The sequence below is a fragment of the Homo sapiens genome, chromosome 4, assembly GCF_000001405.40.
Source record: "Homo sapiens chromosome 4, GRCh38.p14 Primary Assembly".
Classification (NCBI taxonomy): domain Eukaryota; kingdom Metazoa; phylum Chordata; class Mammalia; order Primates; family Hominidae; genus Homo; species Homo sapiens.
The window spans coordinates 71,331,753-71,358,583 of record NC_000004.12 but is presented as its reverse complement, the minus strand read 5'-3'; the positions used below and the strand labels follow the sequence as shown (position 1 = coordinate 71,358,583).

The window sequence follows — 26,831 nt, the reverse complement described above, 5'->3', positions numbered from 1 at the left end:
AAAGCATTTTATTTAAATTATTTGCACATAACCAGTTTTGCCTAAAAAATATACCACAGAAAATCTGCTTGTAGTGTTTTTCCAGCCAACAGTTACCTTTAATACTAAGAGAAAACTCATTTCCAGAAATGCAGTGGCTGAGTTGCAATTCAGTTACTCCACCTTTTTCCATGACAACCGGTTTTATGTTATTCTGAAAGTGCAGCTGAGGGCAATGAATTAGAATCTCCCTTATCTACTCATCTCTCTCTCTCTTTTTTTTTTTTTTTCAGACGGAGTCTCGCTCTGTAGCCCAGGCTGGAGTGCAGTGGCGTGATCTTGGCTCACTGCAACCTCCCCCTCCCGGGTTTAAGCTTTTCTCTGGCCTCACCCTCCCAAGTAGCTGGGACAAAGGTGCGTGCCACCACACCCAGGTAATTTTCTGTAATTTTTTAGTAGAGATGGGGTTTCGCCATGTTAGCCAGGATGGTCTCCATCTCCTGACCTCGTGATCCACCCGCCTCGGCCTCCCAAAGTTCTGGGATTACAGGCATGAGCCACCGCGCCCGGCCTCATCTCTCTTAACACTAAAAAGCCTGGGGGTGGGATGGGAGGATAGACCTAATCCTATCAGCCAATGCTTAGTAGTTCTTTCCTTCATACCTTCATTTTCCATACCTCATGGAAACTGACCTCTCCCTTCTCAGATTGCTCCCAATCATGAAATTTATTTGAAACAAACGCCATGATACAAAAGATAGACACTCTACAGGAAACTCTGGTAAATCAATAAACTACAGATAGGATACAGTGCCTTACTTATTGTTAAATAATGGGGTTAATATCCCATCTTGAATAATTATTCTTGGATCTATCATTATCCTATATCAGAAAGCAGATTGGTTTTATTAGAGGTAAAAAATAATATGGAGGCTTAGTTTGATGAAGTCATCATTTATATAGACTGGACACCATTTCACATACTAAGCAAACACTTTGTGATAGGAGATTTCAAGGCATTTATCATATCTTACTATTCTCCTCCTAATTCTGGCAAACATGCTGGAAAACATATTCACAGAGGTACTCAATAATCTACGAATCTGCTGACTCATCTATAATATTCAATTGTTTCATCATAGAGTTACTACTAAACCACCTCCATCAATCAGAATAGATGTATATGGAGTAAGCAAGTCACCGTGGCATTAGCAGCCTACAACAATTGTGGAAATCTTTCCAGCAAGACTGCAAACCTGTCCAACTGGATTAAAAATGTCAATATGAAATGACTATGGCATATGAACTCAAGAAAAGAAAAAATATGGAGAAGGGTTAAAACAAAGATGACAGGAGACGGTGTAAAGGTGAGTGAAATAAGTAAGAGAAAGCAGCAGCCAGCTGGCCTCTGCATTACCATTATCAGGGTTGGTAAACATCCTACTTGCACTGGAGACTGTCTTCCCAATGTCAGCCAGGGACCGAAGGTTGGATTTCTTGGTTTGATGCCGGTGCTTCCGGAGCAAAGTATAGGTCACCTTATCCTTAAGTTCAGGTTTCAATAGGCCTGTCTCAATCTGATGGTCAACAATCATCTCTGGTACAAAAACAAAAGCAAAAAACAAAACTCAGTCACAAGACCACAAAGTTATTTTTTTACTCTAACTTTATGGATGTCACCCTCAAATTTAATAGCAAGATATTGTTTTCTAAATTTCTAATTTCCCATTTTATGTAAAAGATAAAGACACAGGGTACACAGATATGGGCATTGATGAGAGAGATACAAATATTAGAGTATTCATTTTATGTTTTTTCAGGCCCAGATATGATGTATTCACATAAGTCAGATTATCCTGTAACACAATAAGTCAGTAATTTATATTTTTCAATTAAAAGGGGAAGAGTCAAAAAGTTCATGTACTCATAGCAAATGTATATCAGAAATATAAATGATATTTAAAAACTTAAAAAGAGTATAGAAAATTAAAAGTAATGAGATTGTTGATTTTTAAAATCTATTTTCCCAAATTCTTCTGTGATGTTATACGTACTTAATAATAGAATACAGTCAAGGGAAACAGTATTTAATATCAGGTCATCTGAACACCAGTTAATCCAATGAAAGAAAGATTAAACTACAAAATTATGTTGTAGTCTTTTCTAAGAAAGGAGGCTTATTCTTATTGTTCAGATCCAACTGAAGACTTTCCAGTATATTTCCATTGGGCATTTTAAAGTATAAACTGACTGAAATTTTTAATGAAACTTTAATATCTTAGTCTTACTACCAAAAAAAAAGTAAAGTTTCTATTACTCTTTTTTTAGTATGATTTTAACCAGAAAGATGACTGTGTTTCATAGAAATTGCTCATAGGTCACTCTGCTGGAAGGTAAGTTCTTATGCCAATAGAAAATAAGAAACCCTCTTTCTCACAAGTCAGCATGTCAGCAGTATAGCATAAATGAAGCCTGGTACATTCTACTCTACATCTACATGACAGGCCAACATTTATCTCCATCCAGAATGGGGCTGAGGACAAAACATTACAGAATCTGTGCAAGATATGCATTGGTAGGAGTCTGTCTCAAGGTATGCAAGTAGACCTTTTGTCCTCTGCACAGAATGTGAGTAATGGATCCCATGGCTCCCTTTCTGGTACATGGATGCATCTAGCACACACTGATATTTTCCACTTGGGCAAACTTTAGTATATAAATGTAAAGAAACGAACAATAACTATTCTTTTCCAAAAGCCGGCAAGAAAATTGATGGGTACTGGTAGGATAACAGCATCTCCCAAGGATTCCCACTTCTTTGTAAAGAGAAGTTACAGATGTTCAACGGGTTTTGCTTGGGCATGACTGAATTTCTCAAAAGTCCATCTTCTAAACACTCACAGAATTGGCCTCACAGCCTATAGCTAGAAACTGGCAATTTACACAATGTACTATCAACTGTTTGGAAGCCAAGCAGAGGCTGAATCCAGGATTTTCCATCACATGCCTCACAGAGGTGCCATAACTGTCACATAACATGGGACCACTTGGTAGGGAGTCTGGGCAAGGCAGGAAGAGTTTCTCCCATAGAAATGTTTTGGTTTAGAGTGGTTTTTAGCTCTGAGTATTTTAAACTACACAAACCCCACTCAGCAAAACTATCAGAATTGATCCTGTAATTACAATTAAACCTCTCTTCCACAGTAAATAATTAGGTGCCTACAAAACACAACCCCTCTACTTTTCCTTTAAGTCCTTTTAAAGTGGAAAGTCCATTTTACAGAAGAACCAGAAAAACAAACAAACAGTCCCACCATGTCTGCTATGAGTGTTATCAAACTCCTACTCTAATTTCAGGGTTGTAGACTAAAGTGTTTCTTATCTACCCTTCCTGGCAGGGCCTCCCTCTATTCTCACCCTCCCTTGAAATCTCAAACCAATCTTTATGTATGCACAGCCAGTCCTCTGTTACTAATGCCTGGAAATCACCAGTTAGAACAGGTTAAAACATCTGTGTGGCTTTATGCCCTTCATTAAGTTTCCATTAAAACGGCCAACATTATAGGGATCTCTTTAAGTATAAACGACAAAATCCTTCAAAGGAAAGTGGGGGCAGTAACATTTCACAGCTACACTGAAATTAAGCCTTCGGTGTTCAAAATCCCACAGACACTACCAATTGGGAGAGAATGTGCCAACACTAGATGATAGCAGAGCTGAAAGGAACTTCATGGAGCATCAAGTTCAACCTCTTGCTATGCAGATGAGAACACAGGGCCACAGACTGACTTGCCCACAGACATGGACTGATTAGAGGCAAAACTCCCATATAAAACCAGGTTTTCTGACTCTAAGTTTAGATCTTTCCCCATGTCACACAATATTTTTCTTTATTTAAAAACTAAGCTCTAGAGAAACAAATAATTGATATACGCAGAGCTTTTGCAAACCAAGAGAATGATGGCCATGTGACAGAAGAATGGACAAAGATCACAAACATTCCTAAAAGAAATATAAAGGGCCAAAAATATATAAATAAATATTCAACTTCAAGATTAACTAAGATAATATATGTTTCTTATTGAATCAACCCCCATGATGTGAAAGGTATTCAATGGGCAATTCCATTTCTGATGACAATGTTGCAGTATTGACTAGGAATTACAAAAGCTCTGTAATATGTTCCGGGTTATTTAAAAATGAACATGCATTAGTTTTGTGACTAGAAAAAAAGTTATTGCCATTTTGAAAATGTAAAAGTTATAAAAAGTAAGAAACAATAGGACCAATACATCTGCCAACATGCACAGCTCAGGAATGCCTTTAAATATAAAAATGAGACTCCAAAAATAGAGCTACATTTTCCCAATTCACTTCCCATCATGGTAAAATACCTGAAATGGCTTATAATTTTTTTAACTTAAAAGGGGAGGAAAATTCCCATAGACTCGGCTTCATACGTGAATGACACTCTTTAAACGTAGAATTACAATGAGGATACTAATAATAAAGCTATTAAAATAATCTGTGAAAATGATGTTTTATCCTTTATAATACTTTAAAGATAAATTTTTCTATTAACATTCAGAAGGGGTTCTTCGTGAAAAAATCAAGTAGAAATCCTGAGAAGAATCAAAAATAGGCTGAATTTTTTATGTAAGTGTGAGAAGTAACACCTGCTTAAACAGTCGCGCATCATGGTGCAGGGCCCTCACATGGTGTGGCGCTGTCTTTGAGCCTGCAGGGTGAGATGCCTCTCAGAGGCAGGCTGGTGAGGGGTAGCAGGTGGACTGCAAAGGAAGATGAAAAGCAGCTATTGTTTGTTTGATATAATCATGCTTGCTATTATTTCTTTTTCTTCTCATTTGTTGATATAAAATTGGGGTGCGGGGGGAGATGCATCTTAAGATTTAGCTGTGCATAATTCTCAACTCAGAAGTATCAGCATGATTTGGGACAAAACAACTCCACCTCACCCACTGCTACAAAAGGATTTTTTAAAAAACAAATAACGACTATAACTTCTCAAGTTACTGTGCCATTGTCTGTCATTTAGATGAAATAAGGGCTCTGTTTCGTTCATGTTTTATCCTCTGTAGGGTTTTGATTAGTTCAGAGGATTAAGATGTTTTTTAGCTAGTGACACTCTTTCAAACATGCTCTTCTCCCCACTTCTGGAAATCTGGCCCTTTTCCTCCTCTTTGTTTTACTTATGATGTGTTATTTGTCCCTGAACTGTTTTTCTGTATTATCAGCTCCAGAATGACAGCACTGGCTCTCTGACTGCTTGCCCCAGGAACTGCAGAGCAAACATATTAGTGAGTGATGATACCTCAAAGTGACATAGTAGTGTCAAATTTTAACATGTAATGACAATTTTTAAAGTAAATGCATGGAGGTTAGAGAAAAAGTTCACAGCTGATAATAAAAAGTAACGAAAAATTGAAGAGAAACCACAAAATGCTTGGCTAACCTCTCTTATATGTAGTAAGTACCAAAACCTTCTCTCTTTGGCCATTCGCTAAAGACGTTCCAGTATAATCTGGTACTCTCTCTTCTACAACATGAAAACGGTCAGTTAGTTGCTGAAGACCAGAAGCTCCTTAAGATGGCTCTTCCTGGTGATGAAGATCCCAAAGACAGTTTTACAGCAACATCCAAGTGTGTAATTCAACTTTTAACTTTCATCACCCTTGCTGATCAGTTCCAAGCACAGCAGGGATGCTGTTCAACTGTTTCCAGCTCTGTCTACCATACCATTTGGAATCTTGTCTCCCGTTCATGAAGTCACTGAGTGTCTCTCTATCTGACTCATTTCTCTACACTCTGCTAGGTGACATGCAGAAATATCTGGATAAACTATTCATACTGGGATAGACATGTAAGTAGACAGCAAATACATCTGATGATCTTATTTAATGCTCATAACAACCCTGAAAGGTCCACCTTCATCTTCTTTTTATAGATGAGGGAATGAAGACTCCAAAAGAGTTCAGTAACTGGCCTTGCCCATGGTCATACATGCTAATAGGGCTAGACTTTAATTAAAACTCCCCAACATTAAATCCAGCATTCCTTCTTCAACATCACTCTGTATCTCACGGGAATTAATATATGACATCTTCCCATAGAGTAAGTATATTTTAATAGAGGACAAACCCTGAGCACAGTGGCATGAAACCCTAAGTGGGGAAAATTTAGGCAGTAATGATCATCTATGGTAAAAAATTGTGTTTTTTTTAATAAGGGACTCTTCCTGGTGACCCTTATTCTCCTCCTAGACTGCCTATACTCTGCCAAGTCATGATTTTCTTCTCCAGTTTGCCCTACATTTATGCACATTTGATTTATTTTCAACTTGTGTAATTTTTGACATCTTTGCTCCAGGTTAGTTCTTAAGGTCTGAGAATGCAGAAATTACAATTTTCACTCAAAAACTGGATTGATTGTTGCCAATCATTATACTTTTCTGGATAACAATCTTTCTTGCAGCTTTTAATGAATGAAAAAAGACAATGGAACAGATGGCCCAGAAAATAATTCTTTCTGCTTGCTTCTGTTTTTGTAGATGGGTTCCGATCTCCCTGGGTACCATAATCCAAGATCTCTTCTCATATATCAGATTTCCATTTTCAGCTTCACCTGCCTTGTTCAATATGAAAAATGCTATATAAAATTGTTTCCTCCATTATTTTCTAACTACAAATGCAGATTTGTACCTATGTTGACATGTACCTTGTCTCATTTACAAAGTGGTAGATTTACAAACCCTGATTTCAGGGCCTAGAACAGTGTCTGGCACATTGTAGAAGCCCATGTACTACTGCTGAATAAATGTATAAAATAATTATTTCTGTCCATCCAGCATCTTTACATAAGTCCTCTCCCTTCTCCACTTGTATTTTTAGTAGAGGCAGGAGTGGGGTTTCACCATGTTGGCCAGACTGGTCTCGAACTCCTGACCTCAAATGATCCACCCACCTCGGCCTCCAAAAGTGCTGGGATTACAGGCATGAGCCACCACGCCCAGCGATACTTTTCCTTTTTAGTTATTTTTCATTCTGTATGCACAGATTTACATTCACTTTCACTTATTAGCATAAGATTAACATTATAAATGGAGTCTCTTTATTCATCCATCCTTGGTTATATTGGACTGGAAGTCCAGACACTAGATTTCTAGAATTCTTTGATCTTAGACTTGCACTGAGTTTCTCTGGACCTCAGTTTCATCATCTGTAAAGTAGGACTTAAATCATCTGTAAGAAGAGAAGTAGTCTAGTTCCTGGGTTAGGGTTGATTGTAGGCAGAAGTCAAGCCCCTTTAGCTGCATGTGAAGAAAGGCTGGGTGGGACAGGGATCCAGCAAGACATTACGGGTAAGTGATTGAGTCAGGTCACATTGGTGTCAAGCATCATTTGTATCACCACCATCAAAGTCACTGAACCTCATGGTGCAGGGCAGCTTTGGCTTCCTTTGTAGTTAGTACTTTGTGCGTTGAATGCTAACTCATCATGCTGAACACCTTGGGCACACACCACTGCATTCCAAACTGGAGCCATTGTTTCCATTTTCTATCAGTAGCTTGGCCTAAACTGCCGTATTATCCTTCAGATCTAGGTGTGCCAAAGATCATGTTTTTTCTTAAAAAGAAGTGCAGGGGCTCCACTTCTTATTCCTAGGAAATTCCATAACCAGGTGAGCACTGGACCTGTAGGGATGGCTGCACTTTTCCAAGGGGTCTGCAGTGTGCCTACCCTGGGATTATGGGGAAGAAGATGTGGATCAAAGACCTGCAGAAGGTGACCAGTGTAACATTCTTGTCTAATTTTAGACTTACTGCAAAGTTTCTTTGTATATCTGTAGACAAAAGGCTTATCTATGACATCCATTTCTTTACATTATAGATAATATGAATGCTGCAGCATTTGTGTTGGAAGAAATAGATTAGCTGTCAAGTGAGGCATATGTCTGGCTGATGTACATATACTTGGTTCTTTTTCGGAGAGCTTGTTAGTTAGATTTGCAAAGAAGCCCCACACTTTTCATGCATCTGAAGTACATAAGGTACAAGTGGCAGGTACCTGTAATCCCAGCTACTCGGGAGGCTGAAGCAGGAGAATCGCTTGAACCCAGGAGGCAGAGGTTGCAGTGAGCTGAGATCGCGCCACTGCACTCCAGCCTGGGCAACAGAGTGAGACTCTGTCTCAAAAATAATAATAATAATAAAATAAAATAAAAAAAATCAAAAACATAGGGAAAGGATTGAGAAGCAAAGCTAGAAGGAAATATTCCAAAATGCCAACAATGACCAGAGGAAGATGTTATGGAAGATAGTTTTCTATTTTCTTAATATTTGTGTATTTTTCAGATTTTCTTGCAATAAATCATACTAATGTTATAATGCAAAAAGAGAGAATAAATGTTATAAAACATTTAACTCTGCTTACAGTACTAGTCATCTGCCTTGATGGAGACATGTGGCTAGGGAAAGCCGAAAAAAATAGGATAAAATTCAAACAGCATACTTACCCACCAACTGTGGGAGAGAAGAAGCCTCCCGATCAAGCATGATGGATCCTTTCTCCATACATGTCCTCAGCTCAAATAAACTATGAAGGGACAATGTGGCCACATGGGGCTTGCTCCATCTTTCCCCACCCTGTTCCACTTTTTCTTCAAACTTGATCCACCTAGGAAGATGAGATTAGTGAAGAGCAATTAAAAGTGTTCTAACTTCCTCTAGAAATAGCAGTCTCAACCCCTCCATCTTCACCCCTTCCAGCACTTCCAAAATGTCTCTTTTTGTGGAGTATTAATAGCTTATTAGATCATTAATTACATAATCTTCATAAACACACCCAAAGAGAAGCACTAGACTGCTCCTTCCCCTGAAGTTAGAGAAGAAAAAAGCCAAGCAAGAGAAGCCAAAGCATCCTTGGTTTTATATCTGCCTATATGTAACCATGAGATCCTTAAGACCAATTATTTAACTAAATTTTTTAATAAGGTAGAAAAATATGCATTTCAAAATTCTCCATGTGGGTACAGCCTACAGTGCATAAAAATAGCCACCACTGTGAGGATTCTGTTGTGATTTCATGAGGCAAGTTTAAATAAGGTGAAATATCAGTGATGAACCAATATTTATCGCAGACATAAAAAACATGATGCGTGAAGTGGCAAGATGAATGTAAAATTTCGTTTTATTGATGCTTAAGGAAGACCGGCACGTTTTGTTGTGTCTTCCTTTAATATACATATCTCAGCTGATGCATATTCCCCTCTTATTGTGATTTTAAAAGCTTTACCCTTCAAGTCTGGTTCCATGTGTGTTTAAATACACACAAGCTCGGTGAACAACAGATTATTCTGATAATATGAGATATCCTATTAACCTTAGCGATGGAACAACCCTCTTTTCTAGCTTCTGCTTTCTAAGACTCCTAGACATTTTGATAACTTAGCAATATATAGCAATAAAAAACCTTAATGGAAATGAGAGCAAAACACATTTGACAGACTTTATATCCCACATATTACACAGACACTTCCTACACTGTTAAAGGAAAATGGGAAAGCAACATCGTTTTGCTATTCATCATGATACTAACAAAAAGGCTTCTTTCACTTTAAACCTTCTGAGAGATATTGAAAGAGATAAAGATGGAATAAAAATTGTTTTTCTACATTCTTCACCCAAAGGCTTAATGATTGAAAAATGTTTTCCTAGAGAAAGCTAAACGCTCACCTAACTCACTAAAGATGAGAACAAAGGGCAGAGATCAGAGGAAGCTCTACATAGGGTATTATTTATAGACCTCTTACCACCCCCAGAGGAGGGGAAAAAAAAACACATTAGTAGACCAGGAGTGAAAATAGATCAAGCGATCAGCCCACAATGTCAAAGAAAATTTAGAATGTTAATCAAGCCCAGCACCCATATGTTTCAGAAGTATTTTAGCCGTATCTAAAGACTTTCCCCTCCATGTGCCTCTCAGGAAGGCTCTCACAGCCAGGCAACTCCCATGTTAGTGGTAACCTTGTATCAACCTTACCCACAATTCTAAGACCCTCCTTCTTCTCCCTGTATCCTCCCCAAAAATGCAGGAAGGGAGATTTTTACTGTTTACCTCATGGTTAAAAAGTCAACGATAGCACCAAAGAAGTTCTGAAACTTCAGAACTGGACTTGGTTTATTTCTACAAAAGTAGCTGTGACACATTCCAAAACAGAATGAAAGACTTCTAGTGTGTGTGTGTGTGTGTGTGTGTGTGTGTGTGTGTGTGTGACTAAATTAGTATTTCTTCACTTTGATTCAAGTTAGACCACAGAAATAAAAGGAACTGGGAGAAAAAAAACGACAATTTTATATCACACTCAAAGAATTCTATGGGTTTAACCAAAACTGTAAAAGGTAATAAGGTGATTAGAGTTATTTTGAAACTAATTTATTTTTGATGGAGAATGTTACATTGGTTAACTTTAGGTATATCATCTTTTCATGCTTGCTCATAGAATCGCTAAGCATGTTTGTTGGTAATAGGCATATGAATCATATTTATATATGATGCTATAATTTATTGCTCAAGATAAGACTCTAGAAAAAGGAAGATATCATCATATATGAAAGCAAGTCAGAGTTATCTAGAATTATGTCATCTATCTATAAAGAGTGTAATGACTCCTTGATTTCTCTTGAATTCCTAAGAGTATGCTTATTTTCTGAGGGATAGAATATTTGGTCATAGAATTTAAGCCCAAGATGAATGACACAGGGCAGCTAGAAGCCCTGTAAAGGGGAGTGTTTTACAAGGCCTTTACTTCCTTCTTATCTTTCCTAAATGAGCCCCCACTTCTATCAGCTGCCAACAGCCTGTACTGCCAATTCTATTACTTAAAAAAAAACTAAGCCTCACTTATATACAGTAGTTCTTTTCTGCCATCATCCTCTCTATGGTCTGAATGTCTATGTCCCCACAAAATTCATATATTGAAATCCTATCCCCCAAGGGAATGGTATAAGGAGATGGGCCCTTTGGGAGGTGATTAGATGGATTAATGACTTTATAAAAGAGTCCCCAGACAGCTATCTAGCCCCTTCCACCACGTAAAGACACAATGATATGGTGCCATGTGTGAGAAAGCAGGCTCTCACCAGACACTGAATCTGACAATGTCTTGATCTTGGACCTCCCAGCCTCCAGAACTATAAGAACTAAATTTCTGTTGTCTGTAAGCTACCCAGTCTATGGTATTTTGTTATAGCAGCCTGAATAGGCTCAGACAATCCTCAACTGTCCAAATAATATAAGTTTAATAAGATTTTATCTAAAAAGAAAAAGAAGCAAAACCACTGCAGTTCTTTGTGGTCCATCTTTTATTTATTCCTCTCCATAGTTTATATTGTAGGCAACCTGGTTAGACTTAAATATGACTTTGAATACATTTAAAAAGTGCATTTGCAAAACATAAATCCAAACTAGGGTGGATTTATGAAATAGTATTACTCACCCTTCTGGATTACACCAGCTCTTTAGGTCAAGATTTAACCATAAAGGAATGGAAATATAAATTCTCAAAACTAGCCAGTTTCTTAAAATCTATATTTATAAGGGATAAATATTATCTCATAGCTCAGTTTAGCATTTATTTTACTTTAAGTTCAGTAAATATTGAATATTTTGATGATGTCATATTACAGCACAGCTTACAGCATAAGGAGAACTCTGGAAAAATGCCTATTAAATTGCTTTAAAATGTATTGCTCTAATTGTTTAAGGAACTGATTATACTTCCAACAAATGCATTTGGACATAAACTACTGGCTTTCCCATTTAAACAGATCATTTTCAGGTAGTTTCATTCCAGAAATGGCACATGCTTTGTCTAGCCTCCTCGCATATCAAGGACAAATTTGGATTTGGAAAATAAAAACAAAAACTGAAAACTACTCAGTTCAAATCAGAGCCCATTAAAGAAAAGGCTAAGGCAAAAGTACCAAAGTTCACCCTATTCAAGTGCCAATGAATCTGCAAAGGTGCTTTAGAACCATGCAATTACGTTTAAAAAAAAAAAACAGACTTTTTACTGTAGAGTATACTAAAAGCCACTATCTCCCCTTCATAATAACTATGAATAACTACATATTTGCAATAGTATACTAAAAGCCACTATCTCCCCTTCATAATAACTATGAATAACTACATATTTGCAATAAGTTTCCCACTTTCTTTTTGCTTCAGTACTTGACATGTTACAGAAAAATTTGTTTCAGAAGCAGGCTTTTTAAATACTTGCAATTACAAAACCGTTTTAACCTTGGAGGAGGGGTTTATTAGGTGAAGTTTATTCCAAGGTCTTAGAAGAATAATGATAAAATACTTTGCAGTTTAAGACATTTTCAGTGACTGCCAAACAAACAACATTTCATTCGTTTGTTGAAGAAAAAAAAGACCCACTGGGAATCACTGAATTTTGCAACTTTCCAATCATATGATTAAATATAATTAAGAAAAAAAAAGACCTCTAACTTAATAACATATCAGTTGTACAGTGGAAAACAGACATGACCTTTACACTAAATAAATTCCAACTACGTACAACTATTGAAATGATGATAAATGTCTTGCTAACTAACAAGTGCCTTATCACCCTAAAAGAAGCCAACGTTAGTGTGTACCTGGGAAAAATGAGGTTTTTAAGGAGAATTCTTAAAATTCTAGATCCACTATTAAAGTTATTGTACACAACTACATGGACATAACTATATATGATTACATAGATGATTAAATTCCTTGAGTCTTTTTCTTACAGAAAAATTAACTTGGCCTGAAATAGAATTTCCCAAAGTAATTCAGTAGAGAAAAGACAGAGAAGTCAGTGTAGACTGGGAGAGAGCAGTCTTTGCCCAAACCCACAGTATAAGTGCACATGTTGGTGCTTAATGGCCATGCCCTTAAATCAGGTACTTCAGATTTACCTGAAGTAAATCTGCCAAGCAGAAACACAAGTGGGTGTACATTTGTGGTGTCCAGTTGGAAGTAAAACATCAATACCCCTTTCCTTTGTTGGCTTGTGTTTGTTGAAACTTGTGATGGCTTTCCTTTATACCCAAGTTTGGCAGCACAGTTTGAATTACGCTGGGGGAGTTATCTTTAACAAACATTCATACAACAGTGGTTAAGTCCAGCACTGTCCATCTGAAAATTCACTGAAGAGAAACTGACAGCTAATAATCATTTTTGCAGAGATATCCCTACTCAAATGAATAAAGAATTTGGGCAGGGAAAAAAAAAGTCCCTTTCTCCTGACTTTGGGCCATCATCAAACTTGGATCATGAATTATTCTTTTACCAGTTTGCTTTATGAACCCATTAGCTGACACCTAGTCACCTAGACATTCTTAATGGAAGCACAGGCTTCTTCACCAATTCCAAACGATTTTTCAGGTCTGATAAGTCTACCCTTTTTACCATATTCAACTTGTGCTCTATTTTGGAAGAACCACTGAAAATTCAAAGTTCTAACTTTTAGGAAAGGGAAGAACAGGTAAAGGACGTAAAAGGGATGGTGATAGAGTTGAGAGTTACTTTAAACTTCATATAAATAAATACTTAATCTTGTTCATAGTATAACTACTGTGCTTTCCATGACTTAAAAGGGGACATCTCCCCCTATTATTGAAACAATTCTCATTTTTTTAGGCACAGGGCCAACCTGAAATTCCTGAAGTAGTACTACAGCCATAATAATGCTGATGCATTATTATCCTGATCCTACAAGAATATCCTAAACTGAACTTCAGATCTACTCTGCCTACAGATTTCCTCATCTCAATAATGTGTAGGAAATCATTAGCCATCTCAATAATATGTAAGAAATCATTAGCCAACTGAAAAGTATAGGTCTTAAAAGAGAAAGAAGGATGATATTGAGTTCTGTGGGCTGTAGATTTATAACAGAACCTACATGGAGCTGGAGAAGTCTGGAGAGTTAGCTCTCTATGAAATAAAATAGGCTATCAATTGCGACTTTCACAGAAAATCAAAATATTATCAATTTATAAGTTGGCCAGAAAAAGATTCATGTCACATCTTCATATGTAAAATGGATTCCTTCTAAGCATTAAACTTTTATTAGTCTGGTAGGTCTGAGGGCTTTTAATGGGGGGAAAAAACTATCATATCTGGAAACTAGACATCACAAATGGGAGTCAAAAATTACTGCAAAAACATTCTGACAGCAGGGTATGTCCCAGATAGTAAAGGTTACTGAAAAGCTGAATATTTCCAGAAGCATATTCACTCCACGCCTCTCCAAAGAATGTAGGTGGAGCAGCAAACCAAGAATCAAGGTTCTATTTCTCTATTCATTGATTCTATTAACCAGTCTTTGTTGAGCATGACCTGTGTGCCAGGTAGTTTCAGGCACTAGGAATACAGTGGCAAAACAACTGAAAATTTCTGCCCTCACAGAGCTTTAATTCTATTGGGAAGAGACAATAACAAGATATATGGTATGCTAAATGATGACAGGTGCTAAGGACAAAAATAATGAAAGATGAGGGATAGGAAGCATTGGGGGAAGGTTTCAATTATAGATAGGACAACCACTAAGCAGGTAATATTTGAATAAAGACCTGAAGGAGATGAGGACATGGGCCACGCAGATAACTGTGGGGGTTCAGGGAAGACAGAACATTTCAGACAGAGGGAACAACAAGTCCAAAGTTCCTGACAGATTAGCATGACTGGCCAGTGAGGCTCAAGCAGAGTGAAGCAGAGGAAATGAAAAGGAAGACAAGGTCAAAGAGATGATGGCAGATAATTCATAAAGGAAGTAAGAGCAGATGAAAAGAGATCAACTAATTAGGAGCCATCTGCAGCAATCTCAGTGAGAAATGATGGGATGAACTAGAGTTGTAGTAGTACTGAATGTGAGATGTAGTGAAATCTCTGAATATGTGAATATCTTTAAAGGTAAAACAGAATTTACCAATTGGTCAGATATTGGGTGTAGAGAAAGACAGGAATCAAGGAAGACTCCAATGTTTCTGGCTCAAGAACTAAAAGAATGGAATTGTCTATTGAGAAGAGGAAATCTTTAGGAAGAGTAGATCTGAAGTTCAGTTTTAGACATGTCAATTTTGAGAATCCTATTAGCCCTCCGATTAGTTGATTCCAATTAAATAAGGAATTATATCCGTGCTTTTATAAATGCAGATATCATCAATATATTAATGAAATAGTTTGAAACTTTAAACATAGGTCCCCTTCTAAGCTTTATCAATGGCATTCTGGGTACCTTGGGTCTTTCATTCCATAGCTTTTTATCAGTCAGAAAGAGAATAATTATACAGAACCCTGATTTGGTCAATTAATATTTCTAAGAAAGTATTATATTCAGAACAGTTGTGTCGAAGGCAATCAGTTCTCAACCAATCACACATTAAACAAATGTTTATTAAGAGCCTATTATGAATCAGACACTGCCAGGAACTAGAAATATGATAGTGAACAGACATGGTAGTCTCTCTGCAGATAAATTAATGTAATGAGGGAGACCATATGAAAACAATAATATCACATACATAATGAATTAATCGACAGCAATTACGGTAAGCCCTATAAAGAGAAGTTATACAGCGTGGACGTGACACACGATACACTCCCAACACTCTTCCTCTCCAGCAGTAGGGTGTCTTGGGGACAGACTACATCAGCAAAATGGCACACGTGCTCCCAAGGAAATAACGTCTCTAAGGATGGTAAAGTATTCAAAACCATCTTAATCTTTAAAAATCTTGAGTGAAAATCCTATGCTCCTATCATTCAATGTTGAATTACCTATACAATGAACTATAATCTCTCTACCTTTCTGGGACCAGGAATTATGTAAAATAACGTATGGTCTGCATTTGACTGAAATGAAAAACAGAAAACTACACCTGAATTATACTCTATGATAACAACTCACAAAGAACTTCAAGATGAAAATAAGAAAGTCAAAGTAGTCTTAGCTGAGTGTAGCAGTATACACACAGGAATTAAATTTTAGAGCTATGAAATATATATAATGTTAGGGAGGAGGCAACTCAATACGACCTTCATCTGATAAAAAAGAAATTCAAGCTCAGAAAGACTACATGACTTGCTCAAAGTGAAACAGCTAGTGAGCAGCAAAGCCAAGACTAGACCAAAATCTCCCAACACTTCAGGCTGCACCAGGACAATTCTCACACTGTATTTTTCTATCAGAAAGAAGGAAAAGAAAGAATGAAACAGATTCACTAGTAAAAAGCTTTTGCTTTGGAAGCCTTCTTTTGGAGGATGTTTTAGGAACTAAAATTTTACTTTACAGAGGATTTTTTTCTATACAGGTTATTGGTTCTGAGAGAGGGGAACAAGAAACAGTTGATGTATCCTGGGAGGAAGCCCCAAAAGAGCAAAGAATGAAAAGCTTCAAAAGAAAGTATTACAGATGAGGAGTGGAAATGTGTTATGAAAGCTTTTTTAATTAGAAGAAGAAAATATTAAGTAGCTATCAAACAGAAGAGTTAAACAATCACACCCACTGTAGATGTCTATTAGAAAGAGAATTACCCAGTAAATTGAAAATAAAGTATTTAAAAATTAGGTCTCTTTCCCTAATACTACTGTTGGGGCTAGGAGTAAAGCCGAATTACTTTTTTTCTGGGCATTGTTTAAGTTATGAAAGATAAGAAATTCTCCATCAGTTCTAAACATTTTTAAAGCAGTTTTTTCTGCAAGACTAAGCTACCTAGAAACTCTTGGTGAGGAATAAAAACTTCTCCCCCATTATCAAATAAATTAATTTATGAAGCTTCTCCAGTATTAAAAATCCCAAAGGGCTAAAGACATTCAATATTACTTAAAATTGTGGAAATAAAAATAAATCCATAAGCCTACAAAGCATAAGCCTAAGTAACTAAACTACAAAAAATCCAATTAACTTCATAAACACTTGATTACAAGTGGTATGATGTAAGAAATTTTAAAGTATGCCTCAGAAAATAAAAATTATTCCTCTAACTCTTAAAAGACTCTTCATCCATAAAGGGAAAGGCTATTGGCTTATTGCTCCTTTATAGCTCATCTGCTCTAATTGATTAAAGCGATTTTTAAAAATATTTTCTTTCTGACTCTAGAATTTCTTTCTAAGTCTATGTAGAAAAAATAGCAGCCATAAATACTTTTTCCATCTATAACCACAGAAGAAGACTTTCATCTATCTTTGCTTTGTTTTTCTTAAACTCAAAGCTGGGATAATGATTTGGTTTCCCTTATTCTCATATTGTAAGGTATTATATTAAACTTACTTCAAACCTTTTAATAAGATAGAGATCTATGTAAGATCCTCATTTGCTCACTGCTATATTCATGGTACCTAAAACAGTGCCTGACATAAACTATTCATTCAAATAACACTGGTTGAGTTGAATTGATTGGAATTAAATTACAGACTATAAGAGGTTTATCTTAACATTATCTTGTTTATGAAAGTGAAATACATTGGAATCAGCACATAATGATGACAATGAGAGACCAACAACTGCATTATAATCAAAGTCTTTGTATTACATAATTGCCTTATGTCACAGAAGATTCACCTGGAGAATATCTCTGAATCTGTATGTAAAAGAAAAGCTCTGTTATGAGATTAATGAAACCCCAGGTATTTGTGTAATGCTTAACAATTTACAAAGCATTTTCATACATATACATATACACATGTATGTATATATGTGACATTATAAATACATTGTATACTATATTTACATATATGTTTTATATACCATACATATATAATATGTAATAGGCATTATTATCCACTCTTTATTGATAATGAGACCAAAGCTCTAGGAAATCGAGTGTCTTGTCACTAAGAGGCAACAGAGTCAAAGTAAACTCGGGCCTCTAAACTCCAAACTCAGATGAACCTTCTACTTTCAGCTGGATATTTAAAAGATTACAGGTTTATACTTGAAATACAGTAGTCCCCTTATTCACAGGGGATACATTCCAAGACCCCCAGTGAATTCCTGAAGGCATGGATAGTACTAAACCCTATGTATACTATGTTTTTTTCCTGTATATAAAACGTAATAAAGTTTAATTTGTAAATTAGGCACAGTAAGGGACTAACAACAATAATTAATAATAAAATAGAATAAATACAACAATATACTGTAATAACAGTTATATAAGTGTGGCAACTCTCTCAAAATATCTTACTGTACTGTACAGTGAGTAACCGAAACCATGAAAAGCTAAACTGTGGATAACCTTGGGGGGACTACCATAAGAGCAACTTTCCTCATTGTTTTAATAATCTCTTTTTTATTTCATTTAATTTTTTGAGGCAGGGTTTCAATCTGTCACCCAGATTGAAGTGCAGTAACATGATCAGAGATCACTGCAGCCTCGACCTCACAGGCTCAAGTGAGCCTCCTACTTCAGCCTCCTGAGTAGCTGGGACCACAGGCATGCACCACCATGCCCGGCTGATTTTTTTTTCTTTTTTTTTTTGTAGAGATGGGGTCCCATTATGTTGCCCAGGCTGGTCTTGAACCCTAGGCTCAGGCAATCCACCTGCCTCGGCCTACTAAAATTCTGTGATTACAGGCACAAGCCACTGCACCTGGCCAAAACCCACCTCTTGACAGGGAATGAGTAATAAGTCACACAAAATCTCACAAGAGATCTTGGCATGTGGACACTGTGGAAACATATCTCTTGGCTGTCATTTTTGGGTACCTGAGTTTATTATCTCTCTAAAATATTTTACTATTAAATAGTATATAAATTGAGCTTTATTTCTAATTCCTTATAAAAGCCAAAATTATAGCAACATGGATCAATGAAACAATGCCCCAATAGTGAAATAAGAGGTGCCCTGCATTCATGTCAACAAAAAAGAAAAGAAGAAATAGAATTATTTACTCCTTATCCCAGCCAACATCATGCCCATTGGCCATTCAAAGTGCTAAGGCTAAAGAACGGCACTCCAGGATCAAGCATCTTGCCCTGCCCTTGTTTCCCTGGGTCAGTACTACATACAGTCAGCTATGCCTCACCTGGCTGTTTCCTTCCACTCCATCTCCTGCCCATCCACGGCCAGCAGCTCATCCAGTTCCGTGAAGAGCTGAGGGGGAGCTGGGCTGTCATCCTCCTCTCCCAAGATGAATCGGATGCGTTCTGCAGCAGGAGAGACTGCAGAAGTGAAAATACTGTGGTTAAACATTGGCTGGACAACCCTGAGGAAAGTGGAGCTCCGGGCTCTTCCTCTCTCCCCAAGGTTACTGGGCTTCCCTTCCACATTTTCAGTGGACATCTTTCCTGCTAAGCCTCCCAAATCCCCAATCTAAAGCCAAAAAGAAATCAAAGCCCTTCTCTATTCCTTTGGTTCTGAACTGTATCTTGGTTCTCCACCACTCTCCAGAAGGACAGCACTCCAATTCTGTGTGATGTGTCACAAAGAACCTTTAGCCCTCAGATGAGCTGAGGTCTAACCACTCACTTCCCCTCCTTCTCCACTTATGACTCATCCAAAATTATAAGACAAAAGCCAGCTTGAACCAGTCACTTTTTCATACAGCAGTGGGAGGGACAACAAAGTACCCCAATCCTGAGATCCCCCAAGTCCCCGCCTCCCACCCACCCTCCCTCTGTCCAATGCCTAAAGCTCATGCCCTCGCAGGCTTCTCCCTGCCAATAACTGGCTAACTGCAAAGTTGATGAAGGAATATTTAACAAGATGGGCCCTCTTCTTTACAGAATGGTAGTACCCAAAAATGTTTAGTCACACTTCAATGCACTTGAAAAACAAGCCCAAGTAAAATATTGTACACTTGAGGGAGAGAGAAAAAAAAAAAAAACATTTTCCAACACACTCAAGCACATAATTGAATGCCCTACTAGCTCCTTTTGACCCTATCTCCTGAAAATCATGCAATGAAAAATTAACTAGAATTTCCCCCAGGTCATGGGTTACTCCCTTTCAAAAAAAAAAAAAAGAAGAAGAAGAAGACGACGAAAGAAGAAAGAAGAAGAAGAAGAAAAGAAAGAGAGAGAGAGAAAGAAAAGCAGTTGGAAATTGATGGTCATGTTACAAATTTAAGGCCCACAAATACTCCTCAAAATCCCTGGGTAAAACCAACAATGTTATATACATGTGAATGCAGTTCAAGTACACACAAATATATTTATTATGGATAGACACACATACACACATGCATATATAAATTTGTAGAAATATATGTACACAAATGACCCAATAAAACCAAAAATCCCTACCATCTGAAAACTATTATAATACAGGACAGAATAAAATTCCATAGATCAAAATTTATTTAGTACAAATAAACCCATGAAAAATATTCAACCTAATTAAAAATCGAAACTAATCATTAAAATAAAATGTGTTTCACCTATTAAAATGTCAAAAAATGGCAGGGCGCGGTGGCTTACACCTGCGATCCCAACACTTTGGGAGGCCGAGGCGGGTGGATCACCTGAGGTCAGGAGTTCGAGACCAGCCTGGCCAACATGGTGAAACCCTGTTTCTACTAAAAAAATACAAAAAATTAGCCAGGCGTGGTGGCGTGTGCCTGTATTCCCAGCTACTCAAGAGGGTGAGGCAGGAAAATGGCTTGAACCTGGGAGACAGAGGTTGCAGTGAGCCGAGATCATGCCATTGCACTCCAGCCTGGGTGACAAAGCAAGACCCTGTCTATAAATTAATTAATTAATTAATTAATTAAATGTCAAAAATAAAAAAAAAAATGATAATCCCAACGTGGGCAAGGGTTTGGGAATCATGCACCCAGCACTTCTTGATTTATGTTACTGGTAGGAGCCTAAATGGAAACATCTCTCTAAAGGGAAATGCTTGAAGGACATGAAAATTTCTGGTGGGACATGAAAATTTTTAAATAGTGTATATATCCTGTGAGCCAACAATTCTTGTACTAGAAATACATTCATTCTAAATAAATAAGAGTTATCTCAAAGGTTTAGTGACAGAGGTGATCATTCTAGCATTGTTTATAACTGAGAAAACAGAAAAATCCTAAACATCCATAAAGGAAGATTGGTTAAATAAAGTATGGTACAACTACACAATGAAATACCACTCAATCATAAAATATGAAGTCAAAATAGCTGGACTTTTTTGACATGTATACCATATAAAATTAAAAATAAAAATAATACACATTAAATGATCCCATTTTAGTAAAGAAACAAGAAATATATATTTCTATAAAATAAAGCTAGGAATTGAGGCAGCCCTCACGGTGCTCAGTCTGATATGTGTACATTTCAGTCACCACAATTTAGATTAAATAACATAGTCCCTAACAATACAGTTCAAATTTCAGTTAACATGGTATATTAATAGTAATTTCATAAAGTACAAACTTTGCAGCTAGCTCTTCAGTCCATAAATCACTACGTAACTAACATGTGTGCATAATGATCATTGACCAATCATGGGGTGTTTCTTTAAAATATGTCAGTGATTGATCACTGCGTGTTTGTTGTTCAGTTCACACACAGACAGCAAAGTGTGTAGCTGTGTTGCCTTCTTGTCTCCCAAAGATAAATGCAAGTGACATGGATAATCAAAGACAGAACTGGACAACAAGAATGAAGGCAATGTACACAAACAAAAATTAATACTATTGGAAGTAAAATTTGTATCAAACGTAAATGGAGACGACGTAGCTAATCATGGAATGTAAACGATGCTGCCATTCACCATTGAAAGACTCTGTATATGCAGTTAGAGGAACTTAGTGAAGGTGAATTAATCAACATAAACAAGGAAAGTGATTGTAATGAAAAGGATGATGATGTCCTAGAGAAAGTGATACTGGCTAAAAACTTCACATTCAAGGAGTTTTAGGAGACATTTCTTGACATGGAAAGCACACAGGATAAAATGTAAGCTGATCCACATTTAGAGAGCATGACAGTTTGTCTAGGCATTGAAAAAAAATGCATGCTCTGTATCATAAGTTGTACAACAGGAAGAAGGCAAGCACTATTCAAACTACTCCTGATAAGACTGTACAATGAAACAATTTTAATATCAATATTTCTAATGTTTTAAATTACTGTGTACTGAATAAATATTAGTTTTACCTTTTTCCATTTCCCTATACCTTTATAGCTAACAACAAGAGAGACTGTAGTGATTTAAAAATTTTTAAAGGTCAAAGAGCAATAGTAACTGTTTTCATTGATTATTAGGATTGTTTTGCATAATTTCAGTTTGCAAAGTCTTTTTTTTACAGTCATGCACTACGGTACAAAGCAAGGACTTCTACATATACAGGCATATTTAAATACACAGGTACACTTTCAGTGTTATATGGTTTATTTCTAGGGCTTCTGTTTTCTTATGTTCACTTTTCTATAAATTCCAAAGTGTTTACAATTCACTCATGTATTCCATTCAGCAAATGTTTACTGAGCACTGTCTATGCTCTTAATTGGCTTAACAGGCTTTATCTTCAGCCTCTGACAAAAAGATCTCTGATCTTACAGAGTTTACATGTATGTAGGGAAAATAAATATTAACTAAGTAATTTATTCTTTAAATAAATAAGTAAATTAGCACATAAACCAATACCAGAAAAAAATCTGCTAAATATAAATGTATGCAGAACATTAAAATAAGGTAATTGAGTACATACTGATACAAGGTACAATGAATATGTTTTACTTTGTGATTAGAAATTTTTTTTTTTTTTGAGACAGAGTCTCACACTATTGCCCAGGCTGGAGTGCAGTGGCGCTAACTCAGCTCACTGCAAGCTCCGCCTCCCGGGTTCACACCATTCTCCTGCCTCAGCCTCCTGAGTAGCTGGGACTACAGGCACCCACCACAATGCCCGGCTAATTTTTTGTATTTTTAGTAGAGACGGGGTTTCACCGTGTTAGTCAGGATGGTCTCGATCTCCCAACCTTGTGATCCCCGCTCCTCGGCCCTCCAAAGTGCTGGGATTACAGGCATGAGCCACTGCACCTGGCCTGAAATTTCTTAATATCCCTGGTAGAAAATAATCTACAGTTCCAGGACTTTAATGTAAAAATATTTGCAATGCCTTTCCAATCATGAAATGGGAAGTCTAACTATTTTAGGCAATCAGGAGGGCATGAAAATGAAGAAATGACAGGCAGAATTTGGAGTCTGGACAATACTTCTAAGGAGTAGTGTGTTCACATTACCAAAAGTTTAGTCACTTTTTTCATCGTAGTGGTTCTGAAACTAGCAATCACAAATATAAATCACTTTTCATCAACATTCAACATCAAAGATCCCTAAATCAGAACTAGCTTTAATTTTTTTTAACTTTTATTTTAGATATAGGCGTACATGTGCAGGTTTGCTATATAGGTAAATTGTGTGTCACAGGGGTTTGGTGTACAGATTATCTGCCACCTAGGTAATAAGAATAGTACCCAATAGGTAGTTTTTTGATCCTCACCTTCCTCCCTCCCTCCACTTCACGTAGGCCCCTGTGTCTGTTCCCTTCTTTGTGTCCATACGTACTCCATAGAATTAGCTTCTAGAAGGGAGAAGTCTAGAGTCAGATAATCAACCTTTTGTCCATTTCTAAAGATGTGATGTAGGTTTGTCCCCACCTCTAACAGAAAAAAATAAATTGGTCTCCTGCCTAAAAAACAGCATAGATACTACATATCCCTGCTCGGCTCTCCTCCACAGAGCATTACTCTGTAGTCTGGCATTCTCAATTTAGCAAAACATGAATCACTACTCATTAGACAGCAACTCAGTGGTGACTTCTGCAAAATGGAATGGAAGAAGGATGTAACACTACCTCCAGGTCTTCCTCTCTAGGTACCATGCCTAACCCCTTTCATAGGTTGTCTTATTTATTACATATAGGCACCTGAGCAACCAGTATATCAATTTTGGGGGATTAAAATTCCAAAATCGTGTGTCATAAACTAGTTTGCAACTCCTGGAAGTTTCTACTGGTGCTGTACTGGGCTCAGAGCCAAGAGACTTGGGGTGCATATGACTTAGCGAGACACCAGCTTGGGAAGCCAAGAAAGTGCTTGCACCACCTCTCCCCCAACTCCAAGCAGTGCAGCTCTGGGAGAAACTCCTTCCTTCTGCTTGAGGAGAGTAGAGGGAAGAGTAAAGAGGACTTTGTCTTCCAACTTGGATACCAGCTTAGCCACAGTAGGTTAAGATACTAGGCAGAGTCTTAAGGCCCCAATTCCAGGCCCTAGCTCCCAGGTGACATTTTTAGACATACCCTGGGCTAAAGGGAACCTCCTGCTTTGAAAGTAAGGACCCAGTCTTGGCAAGATTCATCACCTGCTGACTAAGAGACCTTGGGCTTTGAATAAACATCAAGGGTACCCAGGAAGTACTTGCCATGGACCTTGAGTGAGATCCAGAGCTATGCTGGCTTCAGGTGTGACCCAGTGCATTCCCAGCTGTGGTGGCCATGGGGAGAAGTGCCTGCTGGATGAAAGGAGAGGGAAGAATGAAGGTGACTTTGTCTTGCAGCTTGGGCACCAGCTCAGCCACAGTGGAGCAGAGTACCAAGCAGGCTCCTATGATCCCCAATTCCAGGCCTTCGCTCTTAGACAGCATTTCTGGACCTGCCCTGGGCCAGAGAAGAGCCCACTTCCCTGAAGTTAGAAACCCAGGCCTGGCAGCATTCACCATAAGCTGACTGAATAGCCAGCTTGAGCCTTGACTGAACATCAGCAGTAGCCAGGCACGGGGCAGTGGCTGCCATGCAGAGAGGCTCCTTCTGCATCAGGAAAGGGGAAGAAAGAGTGTAAAGGACTTTGCTTTGCAGCTTGGGTGCCAGCTCAGCAGCAGCAGAATAGAGTACCAAATAGATTCCTAAAGTTCCCGGCTCCAGGCCCTGGTTCCTGCATGGCATTTCTGTACCTGCCCTCAGCTCACTGCCCTGAAGGGAAGGACGCAAGCCTGGCTGGATTCACCACATGGTGACTGAAGAGCCCTTGGACCTTGTCTGAACATTGGTGGTAGCCAAACAATGGTCACTGTGGGCCTTGGGTGAGATCCAATGCTGTGCTGACTTCGAGTCTGACCCAGTATAATCCCAGTAGTAATGACCACAGGGGTACTTGAGTCACACCTCCCCCAACTCCAGGTAGCTCAAATGGAAAGAGAGACTTCTTCTGTTCAGAGGAAAGTAAGAGAAGAGAACAAGAGTCTCTGCCTGGTAATCCAGGGAATTCTCTCAGATCTTAACACAACCACAAAGGTGGTAAACCTGCAAGTCTGTAAGAGTCACAGCATTACTGGGCTTATGGTGCTGCCTAACGCAGACATGGCTGCAGCGATATCATATCCAAAGTCATAGATCACAACAATCAATTCCCTTTGAATGCTTGAAAAGCTTTCCCAAGACAGGTACAAACAAGCCCAGACTGTAAAGACTACAATAAATACCTAACTCTTCAATGCTCAGACATTGACAAATATATACAAGCATCAAGACTATCTAGGAAAACATGACCTCACCAAACAAACCAAATAAGGTACCAATGACCAATCCCAAGTAACAGAGACATATGACCTTTCAGACAGAGAATTCCCAATAGCTGTTTTGCGGAAGCTCAATGAAATTCAAGATAACACAGAGAAGGAATTCAGAATCCTATCAGATAACTTTAACAAAGAGATTGAAATAATTTTTAAAAATCAAGTGGAAATTCTGGAGCTGAAAAATTCAACTGACATACCGAAGGATGCATCAGAGTCTCTCAACAGCAGACTTAAGCAGAAGAATTAGTGAGCTCGCAGACAGGCTATTTGAAAATACACAGTCGGCCGGGCGCGGTGGCTCACGCCTGTAATCCCAGCACTTTGGGAGGCCGAGGCGGGCGGATCACGAGGTCAGGAGATCGAGACCACAGTGAAACCCCATCTCTACTAAAAATACAAAAAATTAGCCGGGCGCAGTGGCGGGCGCCTGTAGTCCCAGCTACTCGGGAGGCTGAGGCAGGAGAATGGCGTGAACCCGGAAGGCGGAGCTTGCAGTGAGCGGAGATCGCGCCACAGCACTCCCGCCTGGGCGACAGAACGAGACTCCGTCTCAAAAAAAAAAAAAAAAAGAAAATACACAGTCAGAGGAGACAAAAGAAAAAAGAATGAAACACACCTGTGAGATCTAGAAAACAGCCTAAAAGGGCAAAGCTAAGGGTTATTGGCATAAAGAGAAGGGAGAGAAAGATTGGGGTAGAAAGTTTATTCAAAGCGATAATTTAAAAAGTAGAAAAACTTCAAACAAAAAACCGAACAATGCATCTTAAAGAACTATTATAGAAAAGCAAAATAAAACCAAACCCAAAATTAGTAAAGGAAGAAAAATAATAAAGATCAAAGCATGAATAAATGAAATTTTAAAAAAGCAATACAAAAGATCCATGAAACAAAAACCTGGTTGTTTGAAAAGATAAACAAAAATGACAAACCTTTAGCCTAAGAGAAAAAAAGAGAGAACCCAAATAAATGAAATCAGAGATGAATAGGCAGACATTACAACTGATACCACAGAAATTCAAAGGATCATTACAAACTACTACGAGCAACTATATGCCAATAAACTGAGAAACTTAGAAGAAATGGACAAATCTTAGACACATTCAACTTACCAAGATTGAACCAAGAAAAGACTCAAAACCTGAATAGACTAACAACAAGTAATTAGATTAAAGCCATAATAAACGGTCTCCTAGCATAGAAAAGCCTGGGACCAATGGTTTCACAGCTGAATTTAAAGAAGAACTAATGCCAATCCTATCCAA

At 37.8% G+C, this 26,831-nt stretch overlaps 1 protein-coding gene across 10 annotated transcripts in view, besides 1 other annotated feature; it reads right to left on the bottom strand.

The window, feature by feature from the left end:
- Positions 1 to 26,831, bottom strand: part of SLC4A4 (solute carrier family 4 member 4) — a 509,424-nt gene that overhangs the window by 213,500 nt on the left and 269,093 nt on the right. For 8 of the 10 annotated variants that reach the window (XM_024454268.2, NM_001440628.1, NM_001134742.2 and 5 more), the window contains 3 exons: positions 19,079 to 19,214; positions 8,512 to 8,672; positions 1,397 to 1,576 (listed from right to left, as the gene is read on the bottom strand). In XM_024454268.2, coding sequence (XP_024310036.1) covers positions 1,397 to 1,576; positions 8,512 to 8,672; positions 19,079 to 19,214 — 477 coding nt within the window. Of the gene's footprint in view, positions 1 to 1,396; positions 1,577 to 8,511; positions 8,673 to 19,078; positions 19,565 to 26,831 lie in introns of those variants that run through there. The other 2 variants (XM_017008792.2, NM_003759.4) reach the window with 2 other exon arrangements.
- Positions 19,262 to 19,331: an enhancer, noted in NCBI's record as "active region_21606". NCBI's record gives its function as "activates an Ori minimal core promoter by ATAC-STARR-seq in GM12878 lymphoblastoid cells {active_cell/tissue: GM12878}" and the evidence as "EXISTENCE:reporter gene assay evidence [ECO:0000049][PMID:35858748]".